Genomic DNA, 15,303 nt, shown 5'->3' with positions numbered 1-15,303 from the left:
GAAAACTTTAACCTTTAGATGTCAATTCAGTTAGTGAGTCTGTTTTATCTGTTGTTCAAGCAAATTCTTTAAAACACTTAAAATAGTTCAGTTCTTCAGTTGGTTGAAATTTATATGGCCATTTCTTTTCTAAGCAGTACTCTCAGATAAACACCAGAATGCTGGTCTATGGACTTCAGTTTGAAATCAATAGTTTACTGTCTTGCTGGAAGGAGGAAAGTGATCTTACTGTTGTGGAAAATATATCACTGCAGAATCTACTCACTTTTGCTGCAACGGTCAAGTTAATGTTTTCTATCATTCAGCTAAGATTGCTAAATTAGTATAACTTTCCTTTGCCTTTGAACTTTTTAGCACTACAGAAACCAGGACTACAAATATGTTCTTTACTTTTTTCTGTTATTTTCCCCTATCATGAGACTTCTTGAAGGCGAATGCTGTTCATTATGCTTTCTCATCTGTACTTTCATGTACATGTAATCCACTGTAGTGAAGGCACTAAAACCTGTTGTATTTTCCACATTTCGATAGATCTCTCACAGGATTTAACACTTTTGGAATGCTCAGTAAATTATTATTGACTGCTTGATAATACCTCTTTGTTCCTGCCTTTCCCCAAGTCCTTCAACAGAAGTTTCTTCTAGCACTTTGCAGGTCAGTTGAGTGGACTATTTGAGTCCCTCACAGTAATGAGCTTGTGTGTTTTTGTCATTCTTTTTTCTTTTTTTGAAAAAACAATAGAGTCATTTAAGGAAGCAAAAAGGTCCCTGGGTCAAGATTTTTATTTTATCTTTTATGGTGGTAGGGTGAGGTGTGAGTATTTAGGGAGATGGTTGGTAGGATGGCGTTGTCTTAGGGTTGCAGGAGGATCAGAAGGGTGACTGTAACTACTGATGATATCTTACAGTGGTGAAGGAGAAGATAAGTGAAAACAGAGGCAATTTGTTTAAACGAATTTTAGTAGATATTAGTCTCTTAATTTGGCACTGACATATGACAGATTATTTCATTTAAATTCTGTAGTTTGACAGGTATAATAAAGTACCCTTCATTAAATATTCTTCACATATACTCTTGTTTGCCTTTTTCTAGTTGCAAGAGTGGTGATTTCTATGTTTCATTATAAATTTTAGAAATATATAATTTGAATATATTGTCTGTTCTAGGTTCTCTGTGAGTCAAGAAAAGGCAGGGTATTATGACTTCGGATTCGTATGATGTCTGGATATATTTAAGGGGAGCAGTTCTCAAAGTGTGGCCTGGGATTATGGGATCAAAACTATTTTTTCTTTCTTTCTTTCTTTTTTTTTTTTTTTTGAGACAGGGTCTCACTCTGTCATCCAGGCTGGAGTGCAGTGGCGACATCTTGGCCCACTGCAACCTCTGCCTCCCAGGTTCAAGTGATTCTTGTGTCTCAACCTCCCAGAAACTATTTTCATAATAATACTGAGTTGTTCCTTGCTTTTTTTTAAAAAAACAAAACAAAACAAAAACAAACAAAAAAACCATGTTGGACATTTGTACCCACGGTGCAAAAGCAATGAATAAACACTGTTGGCACCTTAGCACTTGCAGTTAAAAAAGCCAGTTTTGTTTGAGAATGTCCTTGATGAAGTACTAAAAATGATTAATTTTATTAAATCTTGATCCTTGCGTGCATGCAGTTGTAACATTCTGTGCAACAAGATGGGAATGTGTGTAAAGTGCTTCTGCTGCATATTGAGGTATGTTGGGTTTTGAGCAAAAGCACTTACGTGATTAAGTTGTGAGCTCCACTAGCCACTTTTTTCATGGAAATTTCATTTTTACTTAAAAGAGGGTCTGACAAACCATGATTATTCAGACTTAGGTATTTGGCAGACTTTTTTTAAATCAATGAAGTGAGACTGTCACTTCAAGGAAAACAACTGACCATATTTGTTGGCAGAGAGAACATTTGGGCTTTCAAGCAAAAATTAAAATTTTTGGAAAACTTTTGTCTGTTACTGTGAGCATGACAGCTTCCCAGTACTTAAAGACTTTCTGATGAGATTAATGGGTTTAACAACATGATTTTTTGAAATATGCCAACTTCTGGAAAATCTGCGTAACTCAGTGGACCAGTACTTTTTAGATGAGGAATGATGATTTATAACATTGTGCCTGAGTTAAAGATTCATTTAAAGTGAATAGACTAATGAATGTTAATGTGGCAGAGTAGGAAAAGTTCACTGATACAATTTCGGATTCCATGTTGCATCTAATCTTGTAAGAAAGAAATTACCACTGCTAACTGAAGTATGGTGGTTATTTTGAGGAAAAGCACCTGTGAGATTGAGTTGTGAACTGAACTAGCCACTTTTTAATAGAACTGTTTTGGTGTAATATCAAAGCACGAGATCCACAATGACCTCAGAAGGCTATTCAAACACTCTCCCTTTTCTAAGCTAAGTATGTTTGAGACTGGATTTTCTTCATATACTTGAACCAAAACAACATATTGGAACAGATTGAATGCAGAAACAGTTACGAGAATCCGTTTCCTATTAGACAGATATTAAAGAAATTGGCAAAAATGTAAAGCACCACTTACTAATTAATTTTTTTTTTTTTTTTTTAAATAAAAGAAGGCTATGTTGCTCAGGCTGGTCTGAAACTCCTGGGCTCAAGTGGTCCTCCTGCCTCAGCCCCGCAAAGTGCTAGGATTATAGGCATGAGCAACCACGCTTGCCCTCACTCACTAATTTTTTTTAAAGGAAAATAAGTTTCTTTTTAAAAATGTGTTATTTATATTAGGTACAGTTGGCCCTCCATATTTTCAGGTTCAGCTTCTGTGCATTCAACAACTGCAGATCAAAAATACTTGTGGAAAAAAGCCAATAAAATAATAGAACAGGGCGGGCGCTGTGGCTCATGCCTGTAATCCCAGCACTTTGGGAGGCCAATCCGGGTGGATCACCTGAGGTCAGGAGTTCGAGACCAGCCTGGCCAACATGGTGAAACCCTGTCTCTACTAAAAATACAAAAATTAGCTGGGCATGGTAGTGTGTGCCTGTAATCCCAGCTACTCAGGAGGCTGAGACAGGAGAATCGCTTGAACCCTGGAGGCGGAGGTTGCAGTGAGCCAAGATTGCGCCACTGCACTCCAGCCTGGGTGACAGAGTGAGACTCTGTCTCCAAAAAAAAAAAAAAAGATACAAATAATACAGTATAACAAGGATTTATATAACATTTTACATTGTATTAGATGATCATAAGTAATCTAGAGCCAGATGATTTAAAGTATAAAGGAGAATGTGCATAGGTTATATGCAAATACTGTGCCATTTTATATAAGAGATGAGCATCTGTGGATTTTGGTATCCATGAAGTTCCTGGAACCAATACCCCCTAGACCCCCATGGATACTGAGGGCTTGCTATAACAGTTTTTAATAAAAATAAAAAACAGGCCAGGTGTAGTGGCTCACACCTGTAATCCCAGCACTTTGGGAGGCCAAGGTGAGGTGATTGTTTGAGCCCAGGAATTCAAGACCAGCCTGGGCAACATGGCGAAACCCTGTCTCTGCTAAAAATAGAAAACAATAGCCAGACATGGTAGTGTGCACATGTGGTCCCAGCTACCTGGGAAGTTGAGATGAGAGGATCACCTAAGCCCAGGAGGGCGAGGCTGTAGTGAGCCGTGATTGCGCCAGTGCACTTCAGCCAGGGCCAGAGTGAGACCTTGTCTCAAAAAAATAAAATAAAATAAAAGTAAATTGTAAAAAACTCTTTAGTTTTTCATTTCTATTATGTTAAATGTTAATAGCTATAACACATATAAACTAAACAGGTCATGAGACCAAAATGCTGAAGAATGGTGTTAATGGTGTTCTTACTTACTTTGAATTACCGTTTTTATTTTTCTATGCTAGCTAATTACTATGTGAATAATTAACCTCAATGAAGTTCTGTATTCTCTGTTGTAGCAGTGGCTGATTTAGGGCTCAGTTGTCTTTTGACCTGTTCTTCCTTCTCATATGATTGCATCTCGATTTTTAATTTTAGACTTAGTTTTTAATTCTAAAATTAAAAATCTTTTTTTTTTTTTCTTCTATGCCCACTGCTGTCAACCCAGTCAGGGCCCTTATCACTTTATTCTTGAATTACTTCAGTTCTCCATTTTTTTTCTCATGTGGTGTTTTTCAAACTTGAGTGTTGATTGGAATCCCAGGGTTAATTCAACTTTAATTTTATGAATATGATTTCATATAAGTTCCTTATGATAAAACCAGAGCAGATTTACAAATTAAATATAGACCATCAAATTAGCTGTACATATTTAAGGATGAGATTTTGTTAAAACCAAATAGTCAATGTTAGAGCTTATAGAATGGCATAGCCTCAGGATCAGCTTTATAATCAGTTTTTTTAAATTTGGCTTGATAATACTAACAGAGAATGGCTATTTGCATAAATATGTTTTATAAAATGGTGTTAACTTTTAGTCTTTGTTCAGGATAATGAGACCTACTAGTTAACCAGAACGGGGCCAGCAAGCAACTCTTGAATGCTAGTTTTAATGCCTGATCAAAATTCTGTAAAGCTGTGTTGATCACTGAGGCGTTGCGGATATACTGAGCCTGCATTAAGTGGATATTTAATCTAATTATTTCTGGAATCTTTACCAGAAAACATGCTCTTACATAGTTTGCTCCTGGGTTTGCTGTTGGTGAACTGCCGTTGGTTGGTGGGATCTCTGTGTCCCATGGGCTTTGCCACACAGCTGGGGCTCTGAGTACTTCAGCTCACATTCCTTTGTTTGCCACCCTTGCCTTAACTCACTTACCTGTATTGTTTTTTCTCCCATAGCACTCAACATCATCTTACATGTAAACATTTTACTTTGTTGTTGTTGTTGTTGTTGTTGTTGTTGTTTTTGAGACAGAGTCTTGCTCTGTTGCCCAGGCTGGTGCAGTGGCACATCTTGGCTCACTGAAATCCCTGCTTCCTGGGCTCAAGTGATTCTCATGCCTCAGCCTCCTTAGTAGCCGGGACTACAGGTGTGTGCCACCACTCCTGGCTAATTTTTGTATTTTTAGTAGAGACGGGGTTTCACCGTCTTGGCCAGGCTGGTCTTGAACTCCTGGCCTCAGGTCATCCACCTGCTTCAGCCTCCCAAAGTGCTGGGATCACAGGCATGAGCTACTGCACCTGACACTTTGTTTTTAACTGTTTCTGTCCAACTAGATTTTAAGCTGTATAAGGGCACAGATTTTTAATTGTTAATTGCTAAGTCTTCAGTTTCTATTGTAGTCTCTGGCTTGTATTAGATGCTCAATAAATATTTGTTGACTTAATGAATGCATATTAACCCTTCTTTTCTTTATTCAACTGCAAACTCAAATACTCTTTTCTGAGTTGTGTGCTCTCACTGTGGGTAAAGACCAGTTTTTCTCTTCATTTTAAACACAACTAAACTGGCCCTGAATTGTATAGAATCCTTTTGATTTGTTGTTTGATCAGTACAAGTTCAGTCAGTGGCACAGTTACTTCCCTTGATTCAGATTCTGTAGAAGCCTAAAAGTGCATTATCTCTTCAAGTAGACATGTCATCATATAGGCTGCTATGGAGATCTTTTTTTTTCCTTTTAAATTGTTTGTGTAACAGTTTCTGTTTTAAAACAGTGGAATTACCAGCCTGGACACTATAGTGAGACACTTTCTCTACAAAAAATAAATTAAAAAAAATTAGCTGGGTGTGGTGGAGTACACCTGTAGTCCCCAGCTACTCGAGAGGCTGAGGCAGAAAGATTGCCTGAGCCCAGGAATTTGAGGCTTCAGTGAGTTGGGATTGCATCACTGCACTCCAGCCTGGACGACAGAGTGAGACCTTGTCCCTTCCAAAAAAATTGAAAAAGTAGAATTATATTTGGGAGTTTTTTTCCTCAAATTCCTTTGAAGTTAAGATTTATAAAAGTATGGGAGGCCAAGCTGGGATTATCATTTGGGCCCAGATGTTCCAGGCTGCAGTGAGCTACGGTCGGGCCACGGAACTCCAGCCTGGGGAACAGAGTGAGCCCTGCCTCAAAATAATAATAAAAATAATAATAATAGTACAAGCTCTCTTAATTACTACCTGTTTTTTTTTTGAGACAGAGTCTTGCTCTGTCACCCAGGCTGGAGTGCAGTGGCGCTATCTAGGCTCATTGCAAGCTCTGCCTCCCGGGTTCACGCCATTCTCCTGCCTCAGCCTCCCGAGTAGCTGGGACTACAGGTGCCCGCCACCACGCCTGGCTAATTTTTTGTATTTTTAGTAGAGATGGGGTTTCACCTTGTTAGCAAGAATGGTCTCGATCTCCTGACCTCGTGATCTGCCTGCCTTGGCCTCCCAAAGTGCTGGGATTATAGGCGTGAGCCACTGCGCCTGGCCACTACCTGTTTTTTTTTTTAATCCTATGTTTTTAAATAATTCTAATCATCTATTCATATTTTTTGTTTCTCCTATTTAACATTTTATGTAACATTTTTAGATTTTAAAATTTGTTTCTGTTATCACTTCTAAAAGTGAATGTTATTTTTAAAAATGAATGCCTTTACATTGGGTTGTTATGTAACCTAATTTGCTTTAACAAATAACTTTATTTTGGAGTAATTTTATTTTTAATTATTTATTTATTTATTTATTTATTTGGGACGGAGTCTCGCTCTGTCGCCCAGGCTGGAATGCAGAGGTGCGATCTCTGCTCACTGCAGCCTCCACCTCCTGGGTTCAAGCAATTCTCCTGCCTTAGCCTCCCAAGTAGCTGGGATTACAGGTGCTCGCCATCATGCCCAGCTAATTTTTGTATTTTTAGTAGAGACTGGGTTTCACCATATTGGCCAGGCTGCTCTTGAACTCCTGACTTACGTGATCCGCCTGCCTCAGCCTCCCAAAGTGCTGGGATTAACAAGCATGAGCCACTGCACCTGGCCTATTTTGGAATACTTTTGGATTTATATAGCCATGGTATATTTGTTAAAACTAAGAAATCAGTATCAGTATGTTGTCATTAACTAAACTCAAGACTTTATTTGGATTTTGCCAGTTATTCCACTAATGTCTTTCTTTGGTTGGTTGGTTGGTTGGTTTCAGGATCCAATCCAAGATACCACAGTTCATTTAGTTATCATGTCTCCTAAGTTTTTCTGATCTGTGGTTGTTCTCAGCATTTCCTTATTTTTCATGACCTCTTAATCGTTTTAAAGTGTATTGGTCAGATGTTTTGTAAGAATGTCCTTTGATTTCGGCTTATCGGATGTTTTCTTATGATTAGGCTGAAGTTATGGGTTGAGGTCTGGGGGAAGGATACCACAGAGGTGAAATCCCCATCTCATTTCATCACATCGGGGAGTACATAATGACAGCAGTACTTACCATTGCTCATGTTAATGGTTATGGTTTTTTTTCACAGAAACATTACTGTTTCCCTTTCCAGACTCTTCTTTGGAAGTGAATCATTGAATCTAGCTCACGCTCAGGGGGAAGGAAATTGAATTCTCCCTCCCAGAATGGGGACATACACTCATGTATCAGTTGGAATTCTTGTCAGGAGAGTTGTTCCTTCTCCTCCAGTTGTTTATTTAATCACTTATTTATATCATAGACTCATGAATAATTATTTTATTCTGTTATAATACTGTTATGATTTACTCTGCTGCTCAAATTATTCCAGCTTTGGCCACTGAGAGTTTCTTCTGTTTGCTTCCAGTCTCGGACCTATCCGTCTCCTTTCATCTTTGGAGCATTTCCCTTCTTCTACTGGCTTGCCTTGTAGTTTCCCTGTCCCAACCCTAGAATCAGCTGTTTCTGCAGACCCTGCTTCCTTGTATTTATTGGAAGGTGGTATTTAGAAACAAAAGTCTTGGGTGCAGGGTATGCTTATTTTATTGCTCCTGGGGTGTCACTGCTTCCAGGCCCTCTGTTGGACAGACCCTGGAAATGCAGGTATTTCAGCTAACCTGCATGTGCATACATACCTACGTTTCTGTATCTATCCGCATATATTTTAAAATACACGTGAGTTCATATTGATATATCTGACTAATTCATCACCACCTCTTGCTTATTTGTAACTTCTTTCTGTGACATTGAGAAACTTGGCACACATTATCTACATTTTATTTACTTATTTGTTTAACCCTAGTGTACATGTAGAGTATTTTCAGAATTACAGACTGGTACCCTTATGAGAAACAAATTTACCAGCTAGAGTACAGAGTAGATTGTCCAAAGTTCTGTAGATTAGCTCCCCCCGACCTCCTGCTCCTTCCATGAGATTATCTCATAAAATTATAATACTGTTAGACTTGCTGTATAGTTTGCATTCTATCCTGAGATCCCCTGACATCCTGTTTTGTTTTTATTTGCATACAGTTTACCATTTAAAAAAAGTCTTTATATTGAGTTGTTAACTTTTTAATATAAATGTTGTAATTCCTGATATTACTCATCTGCCATTTATGTAGTTGATAGTCACTACTTTTTTTTTTTTTTTTTTTTTTTTGAGATGGAGTCTTGCTCTGTCGCCTAGGCTGGAGTGCAGTGACGTGTTCTCAGCTCACTGCAACCTCCGCCTCCTAGGTTCAAGCGATTCTCCTGCCTCAGCCTCCTGAGTAGCTGGGATTACAGGCGTGCATCACCACGCCCGGATAATTTTTGTATTTTTAGTAGAGACGGGGTTTCACCATGTTGGGCAGGCTGGTCTTGAACTCTTGACCTCATGATCCACCTGCCTCGGTCTCCCAAAGTGCTGGGATTACAGGCGGGAGCCACAGCGCCCACCTGATAGCCACTACTTTTTTAATGCTGATATAGTGCTTACCATCTGTCAGGCACTGTCTATGCACCGTAAATAAATTTACTTCTCACAATGACTCTGAGGTGGAGGCTCTTGAATTAGCCTTTTTTCATGAGGAGAGTGAGGCACAAAGATGTGCAGTAACTTGGCCAACTTCACACCCAGCTGCTAAGTGGGAGAACTTGGATCTGAACCCAGGGAATGAGCTTTGGAGTCCAAACTCTTGCTTTTTGTTTAATGCTGTGTATAGGACTTAGAATTAATACAACTAACTCTTCTCTTATTAGTTTAGTTTATTACTTGGAATTTGGTGTGAAATAGAGAGTGCTGCTACCCCAATTCTTTGCCCCATGTGTGTAACAGGCATTATTAATCATGACAGCACTCTCTCTGCTGAGCTAGAACATGGCCTGGCCTAAGGCCAATAATCCTTATGGACACAACCCTCAAAGTGGTTGTATGAGATGAACTCTCCTTGCCATCTCTGATCTTGTCTGTTTTGAATCCTGATTCTAGTGCCCAGTGCATGGCACTGCGTGCCTGCTTCTCCTGGATTCCTCTCTCATGGTCTTCCTTTTTACAGGGACAGGTTTTCTATATTCCCCCTCAGGCATAGGATCTGTTTCTCTTAAGTAATTAATTTTTATCACTTACCAATAATTTAACATCTATATGTCTAAGTTCTCTTTATATTGTTTTTCTTATCCTTACCTACAAAATCTCATTTACCATTGATTTAAATTTCAGTATATTGAAACAATGGATTGTAACATTAAAAATAAATGAAATTGCCAAATGATACTAACAGCTGCCTTCAAAGCATTTAAACATACAAACAGGCACTATTGAAGACTGGAGAGTTATCAAAATTGGCAATTTTTTGGCAGTCTTGCTGTGAAGTAAACATTTTTAAAAGGAAGGACATTGAGAATATTGTAATCATATTACTTACATCTTGTTGGGTTTGGATTTGACCTTACATAGCCTGGTATTCAGTTAAGAGTCAAAGTTGCTGCTATTAATTTAGTTGAGAAGGATAAATAGTACATGTAGTTTATTGTTTTCTTTAGAGAAATAGAAACAGAAACATTTATTTGGCCAGACCAAATAGGTGGTCATTCCCTTGATTTAGCAAATCCTTGAGGTAGAATTTTTTTTTTTTTTTTTTGAGACGGAGTCTCACTGTGTCGCCCAGGCTGGAATGCAGTGGCACGATCTCGGCTCACTGCAAGCTCTGCCTCCCGGGTTCACGCCATTCTCCTGCCTCAGCATCCCGAGTAGCTGGGACTACAGGTGCCCGCCACCACGCCTGGCTAATTTTTTGTATTTTTAGTAGAGACGGGGTTTCACTGTGTTAGTCTCGATCTCCTGACCTCATGATCTGCCCATCTTGGCCTCCCAAAGTGCTGGGATTATTGGCGTGAGCCACCGCGCCTCCCGGTAGAATTTTTAAAGAAGCAATAAGGGCTCTGACAATACCTATGGGACTTTTTTCAAATTATTCAGTTATTGGCAGCTGGGTAAAGAGGGACAGGAATGTCTGATTTAGGTAAATACCTCTCACAAGTGGAGTAGGGGCGTATCTGGTAGAGAACAGTGCTGATTCCTTGGACTTGTGTGGCCTGGCCACCTGAGAGGTAGGTAGGAAGGTGTGTCTTGGCCATGTCCTGGGGCCTCTGTAAACCTGAGAGGATGGAGGAAGCTCTACTTTTTCTGACGATGCTGTTGGTGATAATGAAGTAGGCTATGAGAGCCCATCTTCCATTAATTCAGATGTTCCTATACAGTTGGCCCTCTGTAAATGGGATTCTACATTTGTAGATTCAGCCAACTGTGGGTAAAAATACTTGAAAAGAAACAAAAGTGTGTGTACTGAACATGTACATACTTTTTTCTTGCCATTATTCCCTAAACATAATAGTTTAACAACTATTTATGTAATATTTACATTGTATTAGGTATTTAGTAATCTAGAGATGGTTTTAAAGCAGGGGTCCCTAGTCCCCAGGCCGTGGACTGGTACCCGTCTGTGGCCCGTTAGGAACTGGGCTGTACAGCAGGAGGTGAGCTCCGCCTCCTGTCAGATTGGCAGCAGCATTAGATTCTCACGGAAGCGTGAACCCTATTGTAAGCTGCACACGTGAGGGATCTAGGTTGCACACTCCTTAAAAGAATCTTTTTTTTTTGGAGACGGAGTCTCGTCTCACTGTGTTGCCTAGGCTGGAGTGCAGTGGCATGATCCTGGCTCACCTCAACCTCTGCCTCCCAGGTTCAAGTGATTCTCCTGCCTCAGCTTCCTGAGTAGCTGGGATTACAGGCACCTGCCTCCACACCCAGCTAATTTTTGTATTTTTAGTAGAAACAGGGTTTTACCATGTTGGCCAGACTGGTCTCGAATTCCTGACCTCAAGTGATCTGCCTGCCTTGGCCTCCCAAAGTGCTGGGATATGAGCCACCATGCCTGGCCATCCTTATGAGAATCTAACTAATGCCTGATGATCTGAGGTGGAACAGTTTCATCCTGAAACCATGTACCCTCTCCCCTCTTTGTGGAAAAACTGTCTTCCACAAAACCAGTCCCTGGTGCAAAAAAGTTGGAGACTGCTGGTTTAAAGTATATGGGAGAATGTGTATACGTTATGTAATAGTGTACCATTTTATATCAGGGACTTGAGTCTTCGTGGATTTTGGTATCTGTTGGGGGTCCTGGAACTAATCCTCCGTGGATATGGAGGAACAACTGTATATATGGTCTCAGTAATAAATACGTATCTGAGATACCCTCTGTATTAAGAAAAAAAAGATGGGAATTTCTTGGCTCATATAACTGAATAGTTCCGAAATTTGGGAAGGTCTGCCTGACTTAGGGCTTAGGTCATGAGACTACAGTTCTTTCTTGGCTTTGACTTTTGTTTTTTGTAGTTGTTGACTCTGTTCTTTGAGGCTCTTCTCCAAGATGGCTTCCAACAAGTCCTTGGGCAAACATTTTTCCAGGTTTAGACCTAAGGGGAGAAGAGTGAGCATTCTTGTCCTAGCATTGCAGGAAACCTGAGATTTTCACTGTGACTGCACTGATTGTGGCCGTGTATCTAACCCTGTACTGGTCACTATGTCTAGGGAGATGTACCTTGGTCAGGCCAGGGTCACAAGCAGCTTGAGTCAGCTTCCTCCAGTGTACTTGGTAGTTCTCAGAGAAGAGTTGGTGTGAAGTTCCCAAGAGAAGGGTGAATTGACCCTGGGTGGCAAAAACAACATAGCATCTACTCTAGTGGGATAAAGTAAGATGGTAAGGCATGGTGTTCAGGGTATTTCTGAGTTTGGTTTGATTCACAAAATAGATTGTGAACACTGTAATTGCCCTTAATTTTAGTTAACCTATGTAAATGTAAATCTGTGAGGTGTCACTACATTCTGCTAAAGCTTTGATGGGCTCCTGCCATATTCTGGTTTGGCTTTTGTATTAAAGAGCCATTGTTGTTTTGGTTTCACTGTATACAGGTAGACTTTTGTTTTAATGAATAGAGGTATAATCTGTTTTGAACAGGAAAAGCTGCTTTTGTATTCTGGATAAAGTTCATACTAGTGGGATTTCACCTATGAAACTAAACAAATCTTTGAAAAATTTAAAAACCATATGTATTTACACAGTGTCCATTCAGTAGAAGTCGTTTAAATAAAGGCTTCTGCCAATATATGAATATTTAGAGCTGTATTTTATTATTTTACTTTTTTTGAGACAGGGTCTCGCTCTGTCACCTAGGCTGGAGTGCAGTGGTGTGAAGACAGTTCACTGCAGTCTCCACCTCACAGGCTCAAGAGATCCTCCCACCTCAGCTTCCTGAGTAGTTGGGACCACAGGTGTGCGCCACTACACCTGGCTTGCTTGCTTGCTTATTTATTGATTTGAGATGGGAGTCTCACTATATTGCCTAGGCTGGTCTTGAACTCCTGGGCTCAATCCTCCAACCTTGGCCTCCCAAAATGCTGGGTTTACAGGCTTGAACCACTGTACGTGGCCTTGAATCTGTGTTTTAATACTATGCTTACTTGGCTGTGGTGTTGTGAAAAGATCACTGAAAATGGAGTCAGAGGCCTGATTTGAGCCAGTCGTTTGTTGTGGGGGAAGGAGGTCAGGGGAGCTAACATCTAAAGGCTCACTATATGCCAGGCACAGAACCAAGTGTGTTTGCATGTATATTTCGTTTTTGTTGCCAGACTTTGAGGTAGGTTTTATGGATAAGGTCTTTAAGGCAATATCAGCTTCCTTTTAAAAAAGAAATTCCGGAAACTGAGTTTTAGGCTGAAGATCTCTAACTGGTAGTAGGGACAACTGAACCACAGGGTCCTAACTGACCCTGCGATTTATCTCCTTTTGCGGGGGGTTTCTTGATAATAGGGTGCACTTTACCTCATTTTTTGGCTCAAGCATGGATAGGCCACCCTTCCTTTTCATACCTATAGCTAAGCTTTACAAATGATATGCTGATAAGATACAAGCTACTCGTTATTCATGTGGGTTAATAGACCTGTTTGTTTGCTTGTTTTTAAGTCTATAGCCGCCCCACCCCCAATCTACAATTTCACCTTCTAAGGTTTTAGTTACTCATTCAAACTGCAGTCTGAAAATGTTACGATATTTTGAGAGAGAGAAGACTCTAGCTACGTAACTTTTGTAACAATATATTGTTATAATTGTTCATTTTACCATTAGTTATTGCTGTCAGTCTCTTACTGTGCCTTATTTATAAATTAAACTTCATGGGTATGTACGTATAGGAAAAAACATGGTATATTTAGAGTTTAGTACTATCTGCAGCTTTAGGCATCCGCTGTGGGGTTGGCGGGGGGCGGTCTTGGGAGATAAGTGGGGACTACTGTACAATTATCAGGCACACACAGGCTCTGGGATTTTACAAATGAGTAAAAGTGGTTCTTGCTGTTGAAGCACTTACAGTGGGAATAGAGTGAAATACATGAAAATGTGATTTTAATATGTTATAAATGCTATGATGGTGGGAGTTTGTTTTGTGTAAAACATCCTTTTAATTGGTACTTTAAATTTTAATATTCTTTCACAGGTCTACCTATTTAGTCTTACACTTTCAAAGAACTACCTGGATGCTGTAGATTTTCATGATATACTTTATTAGGTATGTTATTAATGGTAGAAACAGCATGGAAAGTCTTCCAGAATATTAGACAAGGACAGTTCTAGTACTAAAACATAAAATGCTAACTAATGTCTTCATCAAGACATAAAATATGTATCTTAAAAAATAAATTGTAAGCCAGGCGCAGTGGCTCACACCTGTAATCCCAGCACTTTGGGAGGCTGAGGCGGGTGGATCACAAGGTCAGGAGATTGAGACCATCCTGGCTAACACGGTGAAACCCTGTCTCTACTAAAAATACAAAAAATTAGCCTGGCGTGGTGGCGGGCACCGGTAGTCCCACCTACTTGGGAGGCTGAGGCAGGAGAATGGCGTGAACCCGGGAGGCAGAGCTTGCAGTGAGCGGAGATTGCACCACCGCACTCCAGCTTGGGGGACAGAGTGAGACTCCATCTCAAAAAAAAAGAAATTGTAATAACACCCACATTATACATCAGTGAAAACTAAACACGTTACTACCCTAGGCCTTATTGCACAGGGGTGCTACCTCCAAGGAGAAATTTGTCTAGGCAGCAGATGGACTAGAGGTGATTAGCCTATGAGCGAATGAGGCTACAGATCATTCCTTTTTATCTGATTCCTTTTCTTTCTAGTTCCTAGGCCTTGGAAGCACTAAGTGGTCTTAAGTAATTTGCATAGAATTAGTTGAGTTCATCTGTTAACTAACTAGCAGATAGGAAGAAAACTATTGTCATGAAATTATTTAAAAAATAATAATGCTCCAGTTTCTTCTCATCTTTGATGTCCTTTGGTCCTACCTCACTGCCTTCCTAACACCATTTTCTGCTTTACCTCAAAGCTGGGGTCATCTTGAGTTTAGCCTGCTTAATCCGAGTGACTGTCAGCTTTATTCCACTTTAGCAACTCGCAGGCAAGGCCACACTTGGAAACTTTTCACTTGGAATAGTTCTATCTTGGTGATTTCATCAGCCTTCTTTATGTCAAATACACTCAAATTCCTGCCCATTCTTATCTCTTCGTTCCCTTCAGGTCCTTAGTCCTTTTAATTTGTGACTTTCATTCTCCAGGTCCATTCTTATTAAATGTCTGCCAGCCAGACTTTAGTTGCCCCCTGTCCAGCTTTCTCTTGCTCAGACCTAAGATTTCTTTAGGTTCTTTCTTTGCCTTTTGAAATCCAGCTCAGCTTTTAAGATTGAGTTCCTTGTTACCTTTCCTGCCATCCTTCTGCAGTTCCTAATATTCTTTTCTTTCTCCCAAAGTGCTTTTGTATAAACAGTCAGCCTTCCATATCCGTGAGTTCCAAATCCATGGATCCTGAATTCATGGATTTAACCAGCTGCAGATAAAAAATATTCAGAAAAAAAAAGATGGTTG

At 39.9% G+C, this 15,303-nt stretch overlaps 1 protein-coding gene across 38 annotated transcripts in view, besides 1 other annotated feature; it reads left to right on the top strand.

Moving 5' to 3' along the window:
- Positions 1-15,303, top strand: part of EZH2 (enhancer of zeste 2 polycomb repressive complex 2 subunit) — a 76,909-nt gene that overhangs the window by 19,891 nt on the left and 41,715 nt on the right. For 15 of the 38 annotated variants that reach the window (XM_047420000.1, XM_011515895.3, XM_005249964.5 and 12 more), the window contains exon 1: positions 4,072-13,947. The exons of 16 other annotated variants lie outside the window; for them this stretch is intronic. In XM_047420000.1, coding sequence (XP_047275956.1) covers positions 13,931-13,947 — 17 coding nt within the window. In that variant the 5' untranslated portion in view covers positions 4,072-13,930. Of the gene's footprint in view, positions 1-4,071; positions 13,948-15,303 lie in introns of those variants that run through there. 7 more of the 38 variants (XM_047419990.1, XM_047419993.1, XM_047419998.1 and 4 more) reach the window with 1 other exon arrangement.
- Positions 10-304: a silencer, noted in NCBI's record as "tiled region #2848; K562 Repressive non-DNase unmatched - State 5:Enh". NCBI's record gives its function as "represses a minimal TATA promoter and a strong SV40 promoter by Sharpr-MPRA in K562 cells {active_cell/tissue: K562}" and the evidence as "EXISTENCE:reporter gene assay evidence [ECO:0000049][PMID:27701403]".

Source organism: Homo sapiens, chromosome 7 (genome assembly GCF_000001405.40).
Source record: "Homo sapiens chromosome 7, GRCh38.p14 Primary Assembly".
NCBI lineage: Eukaryota > Metazoa > Chordata > Mammalia > Primates > Hominidae > Homo > Homo sapiens.
Note: the sequence above shows the minus strand (reverse complement) of the source record. Positions and strands in the feature narration are given on the sequence as shown.